This window comes from Homo sapiens, chromosome 13, assembly GCF_000001405.40.
Source record: "Homo sapiens chromosome 13, GRCh38.p14 Primary Assembly".
Taxonomy (NCBI): domain Eukaryota; kingdom Metazoa; phylum Chordata; class Mammalia; order Primates; family Hominidae; genus Homo; species Homo sapiens.
The window spans coordinates 33,255,086-33,276,943 of NC_000013.11; the positions used below are offsets into that span (position 1 = coordinate 33,255,086).

Consider the following 21,858-nt stretch of genomic DNA (forward strand, 5'->3'; position numbering starts at 1 on the left):
CCATCTGTGTGCTCCCCCCCCCCTCAGAGGCTTGATCAGGTTCAGAGACCGAGCAGGTGAGCCACACCCTTGTTGCACATCCTACGAGGGGGACCAGGGAACTCTCCCGTTTCACTGTGAATACAACAAAGTTGAAAGCCTCATACAGATGTGTAAGCTGATGTGTGTATCATTCATACTACTCAGAGGGACCCCAGTGTCACAACCCTTCTTGGCTTATGGTAAGAGATGGATAAATCCTCACCTTTAGGATGCTGAGAGGGACTTTCACTATTATTATCAAAGCTAAGAAAAATATTTATCCAGGCCCACCCTCTCTAAAGAGAACCGCTCACAACTGGGCCAAACTCCATCCTCCAGGGCCCGCACACCCTGTTGCCATCAACCATACCCCTGTCCACCCTCTCCCAGCCTAGTAGATGTGGTGGTGAATGGGAAGGGAGAGTTTTCATAGTACAGTGTGCCTTGATGGTAAGTTTTTTCACAGAGATGATTCCTCTCTTCTTACTACAAAGGCCATACCTACTGAGGCTGCTAGAGACAGAAAAAAATCAGACTGAACCAGAGTGAGCCCCAAAATGCCTGTTCCTCCCCAACAAACAAGGGTTGTGCATAAAGAGATTTCCATCCTTAACTTCATTTCTGCCACACTCCCTCCAGGGCAGGGAGGGGACGGCTCATGGCAAAGGCACAAACCCTTGCTTGCAACTGTGCAGGGAAGAGACCTCCAGGAGTTCTATCTACTCTGAGTTGAGGAGCTAACACTAATTACTGGCCCTTCTGCTCATGTTCCCCAAACTGACACATATCATGATGGTCTACAGGTAGTATAAGACTCTTCATAAGCACTAAAGAAAGAGCACATGTATGCAGGTCAATTTTTATATCAAGTATAAATAAAAAGCATAAATATACATACATAAGTTGATTATCTTCATCTGACCACTTTCCAAATGTGTTCATTAATGAAGCCTACTGAAATACTAAAGGAGCCAAGTATACACTCAACAATAACAAAGGATTCATCTTCAAAATGAATTTTCAAATTTGGCTTCGTGGCGTCCCAAATTCTGAACATGCCTTGAACCTGTCACCAGCCCTGGGCTGTGACCACTCTGATGTGCAGATTTTTACAGGCATGGGAACTAAGAAATGATCCTGGGTCAATGATGTGCATTTCATTACCTGCACCCTCACTGGCTCGGCCTTCCTGAGAGGGCTCCTGCTGGCCCTGGTGACTAAGAGGCTGCTCCTCCAGCCCTACAGTCAGCAGTGTTGCCATTGTGTCCGCCTCACTTCCTCCCCTCTTGCAAATGATCACCAGGTACCCAGGCCCCACAGTTTTCACTTGTTCTATTATTTACTCCTGTTCCTTCAGAACCCATCAGCACATTGACAGTTCAGCAGCTAGCAAACTATTCATCCCAAGTCCACAATGCAGCACATTTTCTTCTCTTTAAAATTTTTTTGAAACATCTGCTTTTGTTTCCATGGTAATCATAGGGGTATTTTTTTCTTAATAGAACTTTGAACTGCTTTTAAATTCTGAATGAATACTGCTTTGCATTTAACAAACCAGAATCAGTTCAAAATGACTGCAAAAAACCTTCCTAGTCAAGCTTAAACGAGACAAGCATGTTAACAAACAAGATGGCAGAAACAAAAATGTTGACTCATTGCTGCTAACCCCATCTGTAGGTGATGAGCAGGACTGATGAAGATTTCAATAAAGTATAATTTGTTTATATATTAAATTTTTAAAGTTGAAAGTAAATAGACAAGTTTCTGTATTTGAACCACAATGTTTGCAGTGGAAATAAAGAATAATTTAATCTTTATGCCAGATCTCGAAGGTAGTCCTTACAGACTCACTATATACAGATACAAAAGCTACAAAATAACACAAAGTTTCTTATCAAGAAGATAGGCAGAGCAAATGAAGCTCTAACCAAAACAGGAAAAGTTTTCAGACATAAAATTAACATATTCAGTTGTTAAACTTGTTGATTGGAAGAGATCATGACTATATAATTAAGGATGTTCAATTAAGGCCATTTGACATATAGAACTGGAAAAAAGGTGCAAAGTCTGACCTGAAGATGTAGATCTGGGAATTATCCATGTAAATTTGGTGATAAGACCATGAATGGGAACTAAATCTTGGGAAACACAGAGCTGGGCAGAGGAATAAGAGCTGCTACCAAGGACATCAGTAAAAATAGTCAAGAGAAGCAGAGAAATGAGATACCAGTGAGGTCAAGGCAAGAAGACAAGTAGAAGGGGTCAGCAACTTTGCAAGACTTTTTCTCATTTGATCCCACATGTACTGAATGCCAAGCATGGTATATAAAAGTGTACCTATATCTATACCTATATCTTTACCTATCTATCTAGGGAATATAGAGGGAATATGAATGACATCACAGCAGCTGCCTTGGAGCCCTGGAGCCTGAAGACATTTGAGATGGATACACCTAAGGAGAGGAGGAGAAGGTGGCAGGCAGATTTGAAAAAAATGTGGATTACCATTAAAAAAGGATTTGTAAGCAATTTCAGAAATATAATCTCCAAGCCTCAGGAATTATTTTACCCTTACTTTTTAAGAACTGGTATTATTATACTCATAATGAGAGTCATAAATTATGAACAAGAAGAAGGTTGGTTATTATTATTTGTTTAGTATTACCAGCCTTTTCAATTCCACACAAGAGGGTAACAGAAACAAAGCTGTGAGGATACCTTGCAGTTTGAACATTTCTGGGAATTTGCATTTAACAAGGAAAGATCATCACTGTAAATATATTTTCAATTTGTAACAGCTGAGACTCATAAATGGAGATTATATGACACATAACAAGTGACAGGTTATCAGCATGTGTTGGCAAGAGCCCTTTGGCTATTAAAAGATAATTAAAACTCACTATAATCTTCCAGCTGCTTCATTTAGTCATTTTGTTTTATATGAATGTGATAAGGCTCTGATGCATTTTAAATGGACAGCTCCCCTTTATCAGCTTCTTGGGTTAAGCCAGTGAGAGTCCCCTCATTTGCAAATCTCCTTCTAGCTACACAATTTACACAAAGCATCTTCCTCTGGCTTGATCGTCAATGATTCTGGTTGCCATGGAGAATTGGGGGTCATCTTTTATCTGGCGTAGTTAAAGCAAGCAATTGCCCACCCATATTATGTGATTGGAGTGAATGCTTCCATAACCATTTTCCTAAAAAAATAGATGTGCTAGAGAGCAGTTGTTCTATGTTCTCAATAGAAGAAGAGCAAAAAAGAACAGGTTTCAACTGGATTTCGATTCAACTTAGAAATAGTTTAATGGCTATGAAGACCAGAAACACACAAGACACCATGCAATCGTCAATGCTGGAGATTAGGAAGAAAGAAAAAAAAAAAAGAGTGGCCTTTTCAGTGTGTATTGTTTGCACGCTCTCTAGCTGGAAGGCACGCAGATGGATTACAAAACATTTCAGGCTATTTCTAAATGCAGAGTAGTGGAATATTTCCGAGAACCATTCTTGCAATTATTTTCAATTAAATCTTTATGTGTAGTTTTTCTTACACAAGGACTTAATAGAGCCACAAACCCTTTTATGGTCAGGCTGATTTGGAGAAGGATAACAGGGATCAGTGCAATGGAATTCTGCAATGCATGCTCAACTCTGGAGCCACAGTGACCTATCTAGGCCTTTGCTTCCATACAGAAAACAAGGTTTCTCCTTAATTTGCTCTTCCTAGAACAGACCATGCTCTCTCACTGTGCTTGACTACAGCACATGAGATCTTTCTCCTATAAGTGTCTTTCTGTTCTTCAAGTGTTGTGCCATACTGTTGGAAAACAACATCTTTCTGTTCTATCTTTGCTGGGCTGTCTCTTTCAAAAGTCAACAGGAACATTGCCTAATCTTGGAAGCCTTCCCTAAGCATTTAGTATGGATTCTGGAGCTCCCCTTGGATCCTGCACTAATGCCTACCCTTGTACTTCTGTCCTGTACTATCATTACCTCTCTACCTCCCTCCCTTCCTCCCCTGCCCCCACTAGAATGGAAGCTCCTGGAGGGTGGGGCCCACATCTTGTCTTGCCCAGCATCTAACAGTTGCTGAATAAATGTTGAATGAATAAATGCAGGAATGGATGAGAAAAATTATCTTTTGAGAAACAAACTTGTGAGATTGTTACAGTCCTTGTTTTCATAGGGACTGACAGTATCTTCTTTCTGAGATTTTGGTAGAAATTAAAAATTAATAGAGAAGCATATATCAGTAAGGAGGATATTGGGCAAGAATGTGCACAGGAATAAAAAGGACCTCTTCAAAATGGGACTCTCAGCAATGCCTCCACTCTTAAACTTCACACTGGCTTTGGTGTCAGTTCCCATGATCTGATGCAATCTCAACCCTGGGTAGAGGATGCTTCCTTTCTTTTGACATTGCCAGACTCCATCACATCTACATAGTTGTCATGCAAAGAGAGCACTGAAAGTGGTTTGTGCATTCTTATTAGGTCTCAAAAGATCAAGAGCAAAGGAATCCTCTGTTTATGGTTCAGTTGGGCCTAGGAAATCGCCAAAAAGTGACAATACGCTTGCTTGAGTTTAAAAATCATTACCAATATTCCAAATTTAACCTGAACTGAAAGCAAATTAAAAGCTCAACTTATATCTATTTATGCAGGCACTTCCTAGGCAATGATGACCTTCCATATTAATATGGTTTGGCTGTATCCCTACCCAAATCTCATCTTGAACTGTAGCTCCTATAATTCCCACATGTCATGGGAGGGACCTGCTACTCAGGAAGCTAAGGCAGGATAATGCTCGAACTCAGGAGGTGGAAGTTGCAGTGAGCCGAGATCGTGCCACTGCACTCCAGCCTGGGTAAGAAAGTGAGATTCCATCTCCAAAAAAAAAAAAAAAAAAAAAAATTAGACAGTTAAAATATCTCCTATAATTACCTCATAACAATCCTTTGAGGTGGGAAGGATTAGTCTAATTTCTACAAAGAACCTGAGGCAGCATGGGGTTAGATAACTGGTCCATGGTCAAACATCTAGGCCTGGTGGAGCCTGGGTTTTAACCCAGGTCTTTCTAACTTTCCAGCTAGTGTTCTTCATGATTACATCACAGTACCTCCCACATAGTTAAAACATACAAAGGATTTCAAATATTCATTTGCCATAGATTCAAAACCTTATCGTAGCATCTTTCGCACTTATTTGCAATGAAAGAGAAAGGGGTGGATTTCCAGCTGGTGGTCTGGGAGCTGTGCTCGCTGCAGCTCACAGTGGGCAGCCATTGCCAACGCTGCTTCAACAGTGGAGGCAGGTCTATTTCTGTTTCATCTTACTGCCCTCTACATTTTACGGGGGAGGTCATCAAATCTGAAGCCCCAGGAAGTGTAAACATCCACTTTTGTCTGTTACTGTGAACAAAGGTTCAAAATTGTGACTTCAAAGCATGGCAGACACTTTCCTAAGACAGAGCCTGGACACTGTCCAAGCTCAGGGCTCACTCAGCCCTTTGAACAGCTGTTACCCAATCCGTTCATTCAGAGCCTTTCATGTACATGTTTTGTACATCAACTAATATCTAGATATTGCGACTTCTTTTATCTACATTTGAAACCAAAATTTACCTTACCAAAACATTTACATAAAAGAATTCATAAGTTTGACTTTGAAACTCTCTGTAGTGTAATATCTTAATAAACAGGATTTTTTTCCCTTGAAAACGTAAGTGTTTCTGAATAAATGGAGAATCAGAATTTTCAGGAAATCTGATAAGTTCAAGAAGAGTTAACACTTATTCCTCTGAACTCCTAAGCCACGTCCTTCCCGTCTTCATTAGAGGGCATTCCTGGTGTAATTATTTAGATTCATGCCTGTCTTCTCTCCAAGTCCCTATAGGGCAATAACTATGATCTAGTCATCTCTCAATTTACAATCTTCAAAGAAGACTCTGGTACACAGAAGACATTTAAGAGACATTTGTTAAAAGATTGAACAAAGGAATGAATTCATTTGTATCTATCTAGGGATCCTTATTTTTATTTAGCTCAATGGTTCTCATCTGCAGGGATTTTTGCTCCCCTGAGAACACAGGGCAATGTCTGGAGACATGTTTGGTTTTCACAACTTGTGGGTTAGATCTCTTCTGGTATCCAGAGGTAAAAACTATGGATGCCTCTTAGCATCCCACAATGCATAGGACAGTCCCCACAAAAAACAATTACCTGGCCCCCAAATGTCGATAGTGGGGAGATTGAGAACCCCAATTTAGATAGAGAGTAACTACAAAAATTCCATACACAGACAAGAGATCTCAGAAATAAGCCAGCGCTCCTTTTAGAGAAAATGCAGTGGCACCCACTCATATCATTTATAGAAACTATTTCACGGAAACATAAACCAAATTGGAGATCCCAGGTGGTCATTTTCATCTCACAGCTCATTTTTGTTCTCCCGGCATAAGCCTCAACTAGATAACATCTTTGGACTTTCAGAGGTCAGCATTTATATGCTGACCCCATAGCCCAGAATAACCCAAAGAACGAGACTTTCATTCAATAACAGTGGCATTATTTTTTATTGTGGGTCATGGCTCATAATACGCAATTCAGCTAAAAGGGAAAGATACAAAACATTTGAGATGACTGGCAGGAGAAAACTCTAAAAATTCTCCAGCACAAAAGGGGATTAAAATGTCACAGGAAATTTTTTTCTTGAAAATGGAAGGGCTTATGAATGCTTCATTCTTTCCAGAACAGTTAAAACACTGTATGCACGGGTTGCTTGGGTTCGGAAGGCAGGGCAGCCCATTCCTTTTGTTCTGTTGCTCAACCCTAGAAGGCTTTCCCTGGTGAACTCGGGCCCACGAGCAGTGAGAAGTTAGGAGGAGGAAGATGCTTCATCTAAATGAACAATCTGGATTGTGTTCATCCTCCCTCTTAGAAGTGAAGAGAGACTGCCTTAAGCTGAGAAGCAAAACAGACTAAGCGGGCAAAGCCAAGTCTTTCACTGGAGATAACATTTGCCTGATATTTTAACTGTCATCTATTACCTGAAGACTCATTTATCCAAGGCCGAATGAAGCCAGCTCTTGCACTGACATGGAATTCAAAGTGATGAATAGGTCTATCAGCAAGGATGACTCACAGTGAGACATTCTGCATCAGGTGGCATGAATCAGGTGTCAATGGGAAGCTGGGCCCCGTCTGCCTGCCTCGGTCCTGCCTCTGCTAGAGGCTCCGTCCTGTTACTCTCCAGCCACCAGCCAGTGGGGGGACCTCGCACAGAGGTGGCAGCCCTGTGCTGCAGCTGCACTTTTCAGCCTGCCTGTTAGATATGATGGGGGCTCTAAGGGGATAATGAGTGTTTCTTTCCTGACAATCTGCAGATGATTCGAACTTTCTGGGGTTTAAATTAATTTCCTGTTTGGCATGTTTGCAGGAGGAGAAAACAATTATCTCCAAAATTACAAGTAATTAGCTGTTTGCTTATTGTTGTGGGATAAGATCTTACTTCCCTCCCACACCACACCCAGAACCCCCCCCCCCACACACACACACAACACACACACACACACACACACACACACCCTGTACTCTAGTTTTTCAGTTGTTATTTACAAGTCTCGATCTGGGAGGTTAGAGTCCAGTTCCCACCCAGGCCTTACCGAAATCTTCACTCTGCTCATGTAAGCCCTGCCCCTGGATCCTAATGAGTAAAGAAAACTGCAGGAGCACAATGTCCATCCCAGTGACTTCTGCTTATTAGATGGGTGTGGTGGATGCCCAGAATTCCAGGAAAGCAAGAATACCCACTCCCCACTCCAAGTCCTCTCTCTACAGGCAGGTGGCAAGGCCAGCTCAAGTACCATAGGAAATAAAGACATGAGACCGAAGATCTCAAGATGAGAGTCTACATTCTGGCTCATCACTTACTAGTCGTAGAATCTTAAGCAAGTCACTCAGCTTCTCTGAACCCCAGTTTCCTCATTTTATTAGAAGGATTATAAAACCCCCTGTAAAGTAGCGTTTCTCAACAGTGGCACTATTTTGGGCCACATAATTCTTTGGTGTGGGGGAGCATCCTGTACATTACAGGAAGTTCAGCAGCATCACTGGCCTCTGCCCACTAGATGCCAGCAGCACCCACCCCCTAGTTGTGATCATCAACAGTATCTCCAGATATTACCAAATGTTCCCTGGAGGGCAAAATTGTACCTGCTTGCAAGCCTCTGCTGTAAAGGAGCCCCCTCTCCTTTAAATGTTTAATAAAACATCACCCAGAAACTTTAATTCTACCTCCCAAGGATTCAGGAGCAGCAAAGTAAACAGCTACAAATGAAATGAGAGAACTTTTGGTGGAAAACCAGGTTTGGGATAAAATTGAGTACCAATTGGCCTTGCTTAGAGATTCTGGATTTTGTTTTAATCTTGGGAAGGGAGTGGGAGTATGTTCTTCTTTCCTGTTTCACGGGGTTTGTAGGGGCTTAAATGAGCCTAATGTATTTGAAACTGCACAGAATGATGCCTGCAACTATTCACACAGTCACAACCAAAGAATTGGTGCAATGCAGCTGGCATACATGGAATGTCACCCGAGCACTCTCTTCATGTTGGGGACAAAAGAACATCGCGTGATGATTCTAGTTGGAGCATTCAGTCAAATGAATCAGTTAGGTGCCAGCCACATGCCAGAAAAAATGACAGGAACCCAGCATTACTGAATGTGTCAAACATATATTTTTTTAATCTACAAATTATTTGACACTCCTCCGATTGAATAATGGGTCTGCTCTTCTTGAACCTGAGCAGACCTTTATGGCTATGTTGACTAATAGAATACAGAAAAAGTGAAGAGGCAACTTCCAAGACTAGATCATAAAAAGTCACACACCTTGCCTTGCTCACTCTTGGGATGCAGTCTCCATGTGGGGAAGAAGGAAGCCTGGGCAACCACATGGACACATGTAGATGCACCAGCTGCCAGTCTCACTGAGGTCCTGACCGAGAGGCAGCATCCACTGCCAGTCATGCAAGTGCCCAAGGCTTCGGATGTTCCTGGAGCCCAGTCACTGAGCCAGGCATAGCCCGCAGGTCTTGCCAGCCTATGTCACAGTCATCAAAGAACAGAGACAAGCCATTTCCACCGTGTCTTTTCCAAACTCCTGACCCACAGAATCCATGAGCATAATAACATGGTTGTTTAATACCACTAAGTTTGGGACAGTTTGTTACATAGCAACAGTCATGGATCACACTTCCATGGAGCTCAACCACTAATTGCCCAAACAATGTGCTCCCTGAGGAACTTGGGTCCTGTTGGTTTAGCTCAGCTGGTGGTAATGTCAGAAACAGCCAGGGAATGAGTCTGCCATTGGCATGGAGAGGCAATTAGGGTCACGTATTTCATCAGCAGAGTCTAGAGGTCTTTCTTGACACATAGAAGGGTTGCAGAGGTTATGACCTCTTCCATGCCACCCATGAACAGAATGGCTTGATCAGCAGGAAAGAGAGAATTGCATTGACATATAAATACGGGACAAGAACACTAAGTGGGAGCCTTCAAAGAAGAAGGCTCCTTTGAGAAGCCTGGAAACTTCCGGAGCTGGTTACTGGGTCAGGAGCAGCCTATTCTAGAGAACAACCTGGCATTGACTCAGAGGCTGGGCAGTGGCCTCTAGTTCTTGCATGCTGGGAGAAGTTACGGGAATGGGTGTGACCATGACCTGCCAAGCAGAGAGTCTTTGCTGACTCAACATAACCTCTGCCCATCTTGACCCCTAGAGACAACCCGTCTTGATGAAGAGAAATAAAAGTGGCCTGGATTTGAGGGAAATAGTGAAACATTGCTTTCCAAACAGGAGTCAAGAGACTAGAGTGTGCTGAGAGAATAGCAGAATGTGTGCAGGGGTGCTAATGAGCACAGAGATCATTCAGGATCATTTGCGCATTTTCAGAGTAAGCCAGTTCTCCGAGGTGGCTTCTTCCTCCTTGAAGCACACAAACTCTGTTTCCTGAAGCTTCCTTACTCATCTCATTTAATTTGGATTTAACCTGCAGCTAGAGATTCAGAATCTGAACTACAATTCAGGTGGAGAAGTTAAACTCTATATTAATAGCTCTTATAAAATACTCTATGAGTATTTTTTATTCAGTATCAGTGGGGCAGCTGCCTGAGGCAAATATGTGCAATTTCCTACTTCATTAAATATTTAAACATCTTTACTTCTGGAAGAGTTCACATTTGAAAATCTCCTTCTTGCTAAGATGCTGACAGACCACTTAGGAATTTGGTGTAAACAATATGAACAGGTGTCCTATAGGGACATTTGTTTATTGAGTTTCTTTACAAATTAATCTTGGGGTTTACAGCTATTTCAGACAACTTGTACCAATTTAACTAGTGTTTTGGTTTATTCACATTTCTAAAATCAGGCACTAAATTATGTTGTATTTGGGCAAATTTTACTCTAAGAATTATAAAATATGAAATAGTTCAAGCAACTATAATGTTAGCAGTTTAAAATTCAAATCTCCTTGCCACTCATATTAAATTCATTTAATGTTCGTAGTTTATTGTATTTATCCCTTTTCAATACATTTTTAGTCATGCCAAAAGCAGGAAGAAAATGTATATGATTCCAGTGAAATTTCTGTTGTAAGGTGACCCAGACTTTACTGAGTAAGAATTACTGATGACACAAATCACTGAAGAGGTGTCTTGAAGTAGAATAAAAATCTCAAGCAGAAGGTACAGTAATAAATTCAAATTAATGGGTTCTTATCATGGGGAGTGGGGAGAGAACATGAAGAGATACATTAGGAATTGTAAACATAAAAATTTTATAAGGCATGTAAACATTGTCCATCCCGAAAAGTTATGGAGCTATCTCTTGTATTTATAATTTCTTTATCACCATAGTTAAGATCCTCATCCCTCATGGTATTTTTCTGAGTAGTCACTGTAACTGCAGCAGCAGCAGAAGCAACAACCACTCTAAGGAGAAGCCTGGAGCTGTGGCAGAACACAGACAGCAATAGACAGCCTTGGGTTCACCTCCTGGCTCCGCTAGTTATTTGGGTTTAACTGGAACAAGTGACTTTAACCTCTCTGGGTTTTCGTTTCTTAATCTTTAAAATGGGAACATCAATGGTACTTCCTCTTCTGAGGATTACATGACATAATTATTGATCATGTTTAGGCAGGGCCTGCATAAAATACATGCTCAACCACGATGACTATATCTTTACATTCAGTCTGGCCACTTCAAACCCATGTTTATCTATTCATCTTTCTAGGCTGCTCTTTTTGTCCTATTTCTGCTCTACTTAAAAGCCCTCAGGAGCTCCCTATTACCTATCAAATAAATTTCAAACTCACTGCAGTCTGGCCTCAAACTTTTTTGCCAACCTTATCATCTGTATTTCCTATAACCTCCACATGTCACTGAATTTGGACTACATTCTAAATTGCTCAAGTCATACTTTTCCACTCATTCTGTTGCCCTGCTTAGGACAACTCTGCGATTTTGCCCGGTGGAAATACAGCTTCTTCCCATGGCTCAGGCCCAGTGGTCTCCCCTCTTTACCTTACCACTCTGTTGCCTACACATACTTCTAAGTGCCTGTTTTGATAGCCTGTCAGTCACTAAGCCATACGCTCCCTTGAATTGTCAATATTTATGACAGTTTATATGTCTTATCACACTTACTTATAATCTCCTTGAAGGCAGTGATCATGTTTTATATAATTTTTGCATCATACACAATCCCAGAAAAGATCTTGCACACAATCGGCTTTGAACAAATATTTGTTGAGATATTGACTAGGCTAGGTTCTCCAATAGAAGAGCTGATGCGGAAAAAGTGGTCTCTGTTTCTGAAATGTAGTCTCTCTTAAATATTTGTGATAAGTTACTGCTATGTTACTAAAGTTGAATTCATGAGAAATTTACCACTATCTTATCATAATCCTTCCAGGTGGAACACAAACTCGAGTGCAGCAGTGTCAGCACACAGCTAAACTCTCCGTAGAGGGTGGGCCCTGGTTTTTCAAGGACAGCACACTTTCACAAAAGGGAGAGGGTTCCCTGTTCCCAGACTGGACCACCTATTCAAATTTGAAGGAAGACACATAAAAGGGCAAAAACTGATGAAGTCATAACCTCATGATTCCCCAGACAGCTAACAAGAAATCCTCCCTCAATCTCCCAGTAAAGACAGGCATGGACACTTTCTGACCAAGGGATAGAAGCTGAAGCAATGGAACAATAAACCTTAAAACAACAACAACAACAACAACCCAACAGCTATCATGAGAACTGAAACCTTCCATTGTGCCTCCACTCTCCCCACACAGATGTCCGTTCCCGCACCTATGACATTCCTCAGAGCCTGTTTAAGGTCCGCCCATCAAACTCTGGTGTGATATTGTATTTGAATGCGTTGTTATATCCCAAGGACCTGAGAGCACCTGACACAGAGTAGCTACTTTACAAACAATCTTGTGAGTGAGTGAGTGAGTGAATGGAAGACTAGTTTCCCCTGTACAGAAATAGAAAGACAATAAATGCACTTCATTTTCTGTAAGCCAGTGGAGTTACAACAAATGCAAGATCCAATGTTTTGAGTTTGGCAAAACGTAGTTAGATTAGAAGACTTAAAAGGCTGTCTTTGACAAGAAGCTGAGGGGATTCTGGCCATGGAAGATATGTTGTCTCTGCTGCTGGGCCGTCTCTTTCCCTCTCAGCTGTGGAAGAGGCTGCAAACTAGAGGGTGGGATGAAGGGTACTGTCCCAGGCTTCTTCTGGGCTTATCTTACCACATCTTATGAGAGGAGTTGGGACCATGTATTATTAGTTTCCAGTTAACTGTACTGTTAAGGCAAATGTCTGAAAGATTCTGTGCTTCGTTTTGGGAAGTTGGACTTGAAATATTAAGAGTAGGCATTATCAAAGGTTAGACACGCTTCTGTCAACTTCATGCCAGAGATGAAGTTCATACACTGGACTTCTGGGGGTTGGTCTCATTTGTTTTAGGACAAAACATATTATCTATCATACCAAGAGTTCGATAGCTATCTGCTTTCAAAGGTAAATACATTTGATCAGAAAACTCCCTGCTAAAATTGCAGTTTCTAAGCTGCCCTTGTTATACTTTTTCTTCCTCTGAGGATACTTTAAACACTCATTTCAGATTCACTAGGATTGTGGCTGTTCTTTAGCTTCTACTTTATGTATTTATCTAAGCTCGGGTATTTTCATCTTCCCCATAAGTAGTTCATCCATAGCAGAACTGGCCGTGTTGCTGATGGTTAATATCCTTTTTTGTTTTCCCTTTAAAGTAACACACACTGAGCCCTGAGTAAGAGCCGGGCTCTGTGATAAGCACTTTGCAGGTGTGAGAACACTTCATTCTTAAAACAACTGTAGGCAGAAGATGTTGTTATTATTATTATTCCCATTTTAGACGAGGAAATAGGCTTATAGAGTTCCTGGAACTTACCCAAGGTCACACAGCGCATCAGTGCTGGAACTAAGATTTGAACGTAGGTCCAGCTAACGCCAAAGCCATGCTTTAGAGCAATGAACATGGCCTCTACAACTACAAGTTTCAGAAAATGTACAGCTTCTCAGAGCCAAACAAAAGAAACATCTGAAAGATTCTTTCTCCAATAAATCAAGGATCTGAAGTCTTAATAACTCCATGTCAGATTATTAGCATCAATCACAAAACATGGTAATTTATTTAAGTGGTTGTTCAGTGAGCAGAGCCAGCTATAAACAAGAAATGTGTTCTGCTAAACCAAAGGCTGCCAGGAAGTTTGGAGGCACGAGAAGTTAGTCTCACCTTCTTGTGTAAGGAAGAAGTCAATGTAGAGTCTAAGTTTTTGTTGGAGCAAAAAGTTTTGACAAGCCATTCCATGAGCTGGGTACTCCTCTGCCACATAAGCGCTTTCTTTCCTCATTCACATTCCCCTCAAGCTCCACTCAGAAGATAAAAAAAAGTTAGGATACCCAGACTTTCCAAATAATGACCAAATGGGTAGGGTGTTTACCAATTTTTGAAGACTTTCACATGAGTATCAGCTTAGTAACTACCCTTTTCCCTAAAAACTACCATCATCAGCATACTCAAATATTTAAAGCAAACAAAATAATACTGATATCAAAACTATCAAACAAAACTTAAACACGTTAAGGAATATGTTTATACAGTGTGTGTTTCCGGCAACTTTCACCCTACTTTCCTAAGACTTTCCAGCTCAGGCTGTGCTAGGTAGGATGGCAGGGGAACACCAGGCATCCCTCATCAGATAATGTGGGCGGTGTGACATTGGGGTCCTTAAGTCTCTTCAGAGTCAGACAGCCCGCTAAGACCACAATAAGTACTTGGAAGCCTCCAGCTAGACACCCACACCAGGCTCTTCTGCCTAGGAATAGCCAGCCACACAAAATCACGGCCTTAGGCAGTAAGCCCAATTGACATTTGGAAATTCATAACTTTGAAAGCTATGACTTATGACACTTGGACTTGTCAGAGTCCCTCAGTCTATGGCACAGTACCTTTCACTTTAAAAGGTTTTATTCTCCTCCTGCTGATGGGAAATTATTAAAGGTGAAACAATATTTATAAGCTGAGTAAAAATACAAAGTATAATTCTTGACACTTCAGAATGAAGGTGAAAAATGAGAAGAAAGAAAAATGAGAGGGAAAACTAGAGTTTGAAATGACCCTAATTAATTATATACATTCGCTCACAGTGCATCAAATATATAAAAAATATTTAAAGTGAAGCTGAGAATTATTCAAGTAGGTGTTGCCCATTTGTGAACCGAATAAAAACAAAACAAGGCTGGACACAGTGGTTCACACCTGAAATCCCCGCACTTTGGGAGGCCGAGGTGGGTGGATCATCTAAGGTCAGGAGTTCGAGACCAGCCTGGCCAATCTGGTGAAAACCCGTCTGTACTAAAAATACAAAAATTAGCTGGGCATGGTGGCAGGTGCCTGTAATCCCAGCTACTTGGGAGGCTGAGGCAGGAGAGTTGCTTGAACCTGGGAGGCAGAGGTTGCGGTGAGCTGAGATCACGCCATTGCACTCTAGCCTGGGCAACAGAGTGAGACTCGGCCTAAAACAAAACAAAAAAACAAAACAAAACAGCACAGAGTGGCACATTATTCCCATATCCTTGAGGAGTGGTATGAATTATTATTCAAGGAAGAGAAGCAAATATAGTTATATTTTGGTGCAACTGAGGACAGCAAAGAGCTGGGTCTGGCTTTATATGGCACCTGTATGCAGGCAAGTTTAGTGACCCCTAACAGATGCCAGCATCCCTCAGGCACTCTAGAACTGAGCACCACACCTTCCATTTGAATTGATTTCACATTGATTACTTTTTCCTCAATTATATTACAGAATAGTAGGAGCTAATAGTATTCCCATTTCATAGATTCAAAAACTGAGGCATGAGAGGTTAACAAAAATATCGATGACTACCATGTTAGGACAAACGTGCTCGAGAACCCAGGCCTCCCGTACCCAGATTTCCCAAGCTTGCCATACAAATTAGGTCTCTCCCTCTACTGGGAACATAAGTGTTCTACTTAAGGCTCATATTATTCCTTTGTTTTCAAGGTTCATTTTCTTTCCCTGTGGAAGTTTTATAGCTGCATGTAATCCATGTGTCAGGTTGTCTTATCCATAGTTTAGGCTGCTTATAATGGAGAAGCAACACCATCTATAGTAAAGGTTGTCTCTGGAAACCCAATTAGTGAAGAAAACCTCAAATCACTTGCAACCAAGGACCCCAAAATTAACCTTTTCTCCTTAAAAATTCCCTTCCCTGCACACTCCCACAAGCAGAGTCAGTTCATCAATCTCTTTATGTAAATAGCAGTCAAGAAGCCAGGGAGGAGGTCTGTTTATTATTTTTGATCCTGTTTTGCTTCTGGCAAAATTTCACAAACACCAGAAGTTGGCAGAACATTGATACTTTTTTCTGACTGGCTACTGTTCACTAGCTACAAGTGCAGAATACAACTGTAACTATTCTGGTCTACGGGCCTCAGCTATGACTGAGGACAGAACTGTAAAATCTGGAAGAAAAAAATCTCCACCCAAGACTTCTCTCTGAAAATGTGGACCCTCCTTTAATACACACTTTTCTCTCACTAGAGGATGGCTGAGTTCCAGATCCACTGTCTAGAGAACAACACAGGTCTTACCCAATTCCCACCTCACTCCTTGTACTCCCTAGTGTCAGAAAAGGTCCACTGTGAAGTCACAAGAGGCCCTGAGCTCTGTGGGCCCCAGGTGCCCCGGGAAAACTTGGGGGAGAATGGGCATCCCACCCCAGCACTTTCTAGGAAGAAGGGCAGCATTTTGAAGGGCTGGAAGTAGAGGAAGGAGGTTGCGGGTAGAAGACTCCATACTTTCTGTGACGCCTATTCCTTAGGTAGGAACTTAGGAACCTCAGGTAGGTTCAGCAACATGCTGGATCCTGCCCTTGGGAATCCTGATGCCTTGGACATTTACTTGGGAAGCAGAGTTCTTGATAAAGAGCAGCCAGCCCTCAAGAGGGGAGTGGGAGGGTAGTTAGTATAGGATGGGCACACGGCTTTGCTGCTGGTGGCACAATGAGGTCCTCCAGCAACATGAGGGGTTGGTGAGGAAGGGAGAACCAACCAGGTCTATAATGATGGGAAAAAAAAAGCATAAAACATACAAATAAAAAAAAAACTTCTTGGTTCCAAGTAAACATGCCTACGTATAATTATGAAGATGACAGGGTTGCACAGTCAAGAATAACGTGGGCTCCCAGATCGTCCAGACTTGAGTTCAAAGCCCTGTTCCAACTCCCACTCGCTGTGTGACTTTGGGAAAGTTTATTTAACTCCTGGAGAATTTGTTTACTCATCTGTTAGGTCTTACTATGTTTATTTTCCAGATGAGTAAACTTAACTCTTAGGTCTTTATGAAAATTAAATAAAATAGTAATATAGGTAGTGCTGAAAATAGTTCTTGGTACATCACAGTGGGTCCTCAACAAAAGTAGCTACAGGTTTAGTAACCCTTATCTGAAATGCTTGGCACCAGAAGTGTTTCAGATTTGAGATGTCTAAAAATTTTGGAATATTTGCATTATATCAGTTAAGCATCCTTAATCCCCAAATCCGAAATCCAAAATACTCCAATGGGCATTTCCTTTCAGTGTCACGTCAGTGCTCAAGAAGTTTCAGATTCTGAAGCGTTTCAGACTTTGAATTTTCTGATTAGGGTTACTCAACCTGCATAAGTATATTGTTACTACTTTTTAAAATGTAAACATTTCAAAGGCTCAATATTGTGGTGAGAAATATAAAAGTCAAATGACCAATCCAGACCCAAATATTTCATCTAAGTACATCTTAAAGGTTAATAAACTCTGCTGACAACCTGCCTATCCATGACAAACCCTGAGTCTTTTCATGGGTGATTCAGTGGAAATATTCTCCCGTAGTCAGAGGCATGGCTTGCCTGGGCCTCTGGGTGCAGCTGCACAGATTCAAGCAGCCTGAAGGAAAGGTGACTGACAGCTAATGATCTGAAAAGAACTTGTCTCAACTCAACGTCATTCCTGGCATTATCGAACAAAGCAATAAACCTCACAGAATGGAAGCTACAGTGTCCAGGGCCAGCTCTGCTAAGGTAACCAAAGACAGAGAAGGAGGCAAAAGTGACAGAAGAAACTCATGGGAAACCAACAGAAATATAATGGCTTTGGCAGAAATGCAATTATCAATTGGGAGGTGAGGAAGTAATTTTACTCTAAATGGGGGTTGGGGAGGAGGGAAAATTGGACTCTGAAACAATCTCTCTTTTACCGGTTAATGTTTTACAATTGCAGCTGCATGCCGCCAAGTTTCCTTATTATATCAAGTCAGTCTCCACTTATTGATAGCGCCCTCTTGGACAAATGTGTTTTTCCATACAACAAAACTCGATTCCAAAGGAATGATTCAGGAAAATGAAATCAGAAACATGTCAAAGTAGGAAAACTTGTCTATGCATTTTTCAGTTCTCTGAAAGATTTCAGAGGACAGAGATTCCTAATACAAGACTATAATTTCATTGGACACCTGTCTTCAAAATGACAATGCATGTGGAATTGCTCCACAAAGTGTCATGCACTACACTGGTGAAGGAATTAATATGACAACCGTTTTTCAGGGTTTCCAAGATACCATATGCAGACAGCCAATATTTTATCCTACAAAACAAGGTTTTTGCAAGGCTCAAGATTAACATGTAACTTATGATGTATAAGACTGTACTAAAGGATGTTTCTATTCTTTCTGGAGGAATTTCTAAATAGAGGGGGACTTAAGAGTATACATATTCCATAAAATCAATAACGCAAAAGAATCCACAATGTTTAATTGTTAAGATTTTAGTCCATTAAACTCTAAGAATAAATTTCAACAAATTGATAGTGATCAGATTTGTAGGCAGTCTTTCATAGCTGAGGGATTCAACAAATATGAAGAATATTCCTCAATCAAAAGGAATGAAATCCTTAGAGGAAATGGGCAATTAAAGTTTCTTAAATAATTCATTTGAATTAGTACGAGAGCTTAGTTTTTAAGTTGTCAAGTGGGCATTAGAAAATTTACATGCATTGTACAGCACTTTTTTTCTGTTTCTCTCCACAAAGATATGTAAAACTGGAAAGGTTTACAAAATTAACAAAAATCTCAAAGTTAACCTCAGTTTAGAAAAATCACAAGAATTTGAGAGAGTTGAAATTTTTTTAAATATATACTCTTATTCTTTCATTCATTTTCTTTCAGCTTGTGATGAATGTTTTCTCAGTATCCTATGCTGAAAACAGGTAGATACTAATATCGATCTTCAAGGGAGGGCTGTTGAGTATTGAATAAGACAAAAACATGGAAGCAATCAGCACCATGCTGGTAAGCAGAGGCATATCATAAAAATCAGTCTGTCTTTTTTTTTTTTGATGTAACAAATAAAATTGGGAAATAAATATTTGATTCATGTAGTGGGGGCTGAATTGCATCTCCTCAAATTCATGTGTTGAAGTCCTTGCTCCCAATACCTTAGAGTGTGAGTATATTTGAAGATAGGGCCCTTAAAGAGGTCATTAAGATAAAAGTAGATCATATGGATGGGCCCCAATCCAATACGACTGGTGTCTTTACAAGAGGAGATTAAGACACAGACACACACAGAAGGAAGACCAGGTGAAGATAGCAAGAAGGCAGCTGTCAGCAAGCCCAGGAGAGAGGCCTCCAAAGGAACAAACCCTGCCGGCACCTTGTTCTCAACTTCCAACCTCCAGAACTGTGAAACATATTTTTGGGATTAAGTCACCCAGTCTCTGGCACTTTATTACTGCAGCCCCAGCAAACTAAGACAGTCATTCAAAGCATTACCATGTTTTATAATTTTTAAGTTGTTTTCCATGACGAATGTAGCACTAGCCTTTGGGCAAATTGGCTTTCCAGAACCTCAGTTACAGATTGATCCGTTCACCCCTTACATGATAGAAGAGAAAATGTAGAACCGGAAGACTTAGGTGACTTATCTAAGATCACCCCAACCTGGGTTTGGTGGCCTCCTGCTGCCATCACTGGAGGATCAAAAATAGATATTGGATTGCTTTGAAAAGATGGCTGTTAAACGGATATTTGGGTTCTAAGGAATACAGTTTTAAACCCAAATGTCCCATCTATTACCAGTTAATGATGTTTGCCTCAGACTTCATTCCCACCCGCTTACCCCCACCAAGAACCTCCCGGCCCTTCGGTTTAATGTGAGGCACAGCCCTTTCCTCCAGCACTCCTGCCCTCTCAGCTCAGTATTTACCACCAAGTGATTCCGAGAGCTAGGAACACTTCCTGCCAAGGACTGTCTCTTTCACTGCTACAAGGTAAAGTTCAACGGGCTTTACTATTTATCTATAAGACCTGAAGCCTGGCCTAAACCCACCATTTCAGGCCAGTTCAGGGCAACTTGAGAGAGAGCAACTGGTGTCCACAGGAAACCACAATTGGAAAAGGCAATGGTTTTCATTACAGTTTAAGAAAAAAAACCTCTTTTGTTTCAAATTTTCTGGAAGACATGAGGACACACACAAAAAATGTGGCATTATATATGTCTGCCATAATAAACATGATACAAAGTGTATAACTTACTCAAACATAATTTACTCTTCAGTTGATGATGCAGCAGTTTGAAGGGTCATATGTACATGGATGTTTAATAATCATTTTGTCTTAAATTGAGCACTTAGTATGTGCCAGACACTGTGATCTGTGTTTAATTATAGTCTCTCATTTAATCCTTGCAATAACTCTGAGACTGTTGCTCTTTTAATGCCATTTTACCCACAGAGGAACAAAAGCTAAGAAACATTAAGTGACTCGTCCAAGGTCACTCTATGGGGATGATGTAGAGCTAGAGTTCAAATTCACGTGTACATGACTCCAAAGCCCTGAAAGTGCTCTAAATTAGAGTTATAGTAAGTTTGGAGTTTGGGTTGATGGACAACATCCCTAAGACATTCTTGATCCCACAGGAATCAAGGCTATCTGTAATCACAGGGCTATTTGAAAAAGAGAAGAAAAGGTGTCTTGAAATTCAACCAACATGTTTCAATTATTTGCTCCTAAGAACAACAGAAGTTTCAACATTCTGCCAACAGAGTAACTCCTGGAAGATTGGCACAGAAGAAGGCACAAGGTAAATACCCATCTCTGTACACCCCGTGCTACCATGTCATGTGCTGCTCCAGGCAACTCCAATGGATTGGCCACCCTGGCCAGTGATAACACATAAAAATTCCACTCAGTATTGGGACCAATAGATAATGAACACAGTCAGTGGAATTCCTTCGCAGGCTTCTTCAAGATATTCTGCAAGACTGATTTCCCTTCTTCTTGCCAAGATTTTTTCCTCCTTCTTCTAGGAAGTCAGTGATAAAAATATTTAAGCAGCTTTGTCTGCCTTAGACCTTCCAACTAAAAGTACAGCAAGTGGAATGGAATGCTAATATGAGGATCCAAATTTTCAGGGAAGGAGGTCAGTAGACTTTCCTATCTGAAAGAGACCAATGGTGAAAATGAAGGTGGTTTGATGATTAAGAACCTGTTAAACATAACGCATGGGTTTACAGAAGTCCAGACAGTAAGGGCCTTGCGATGGATTTCACACTCTATTTTGAGAAATGCATGTAGTGGGAAATGTGTTGTGTCCCTCAAAGCATCTGGAGAAGATTCTTTAATTTTCTCAAATAAGAACTCCGTCTATTTGAGTGAGAATCGTTGGAATATCATTAACGCAGGATTTGTGAATCGTTCTTATTTCTTATAATAATTTTACATATTATACATAATTTCAGGGTGGTATAACTCTCAGAGGAAAATGTGATTTTATGACTATACATACTTTTTGTATCCAGTGTGTCGTTTGGTGAATATAAATGTATATGAAATGCTACTGTTCACTCATAGAGATTGAATACTAATCAAAGGTTCCTGCTGTCCATATGTATGATTTTCAGAAGTAAGCAGGAAGGGGAGAGTTGGAATGCAGGAAGAGAATGCCTACTTCAGCTCGAAATCCTGACATGTAAATTAGGTACTTGGTGACTGCCAAGTTCCTTTCCAATCTCTCTGCATTGTTTCGCCCTTGTGTTTTATCCAACTGTTAGGAGGCAAAGCAACACAAATCATTTGTATTTTAGTAAGCTCTGCCTCTGTCAGACCTTTAAAATTCTCAGGATTCCTATGCTGTGTGAGGAAAATCATTTGACAGTCTAGCCAGACACTGTAGA

General features: G+C 40.9%; 1 protein-coding gene across 7 annotated transcripts in view, besides 1 other annotated feature; it reads right to left on the reverse strand.

Annotated features, from left to right (window-relative positions):
* The window catches only part of STARD13 (StAR related lipid transfer domain containing 13), a 573,658-nt gene that overhangs the window by 151,949 nt on the left and 399,851 nt on the right, over positions 1-21,858 (reverse strand). The gene's annotated exons all lie outside the window — the stretch shown is intronic.
* Positions 5,301-5,801: an enhancer, noted in NCBI's record as "H3K27ac hESC enhancer chr13:33834523-33835023 (GRCh37/hg19 assembly coordinates)". NCBI's record gives its function as "activates a minimal SCP1, AML or CMV promoter by ChIP-STARR-seq in primed H9 embryonic stem cells {active_cell/tissue: H9 hESC(primed)}" and the evidence as "EXISTENCE:reporter gene assay evidence [ECO:0000049][PMID:30033119]".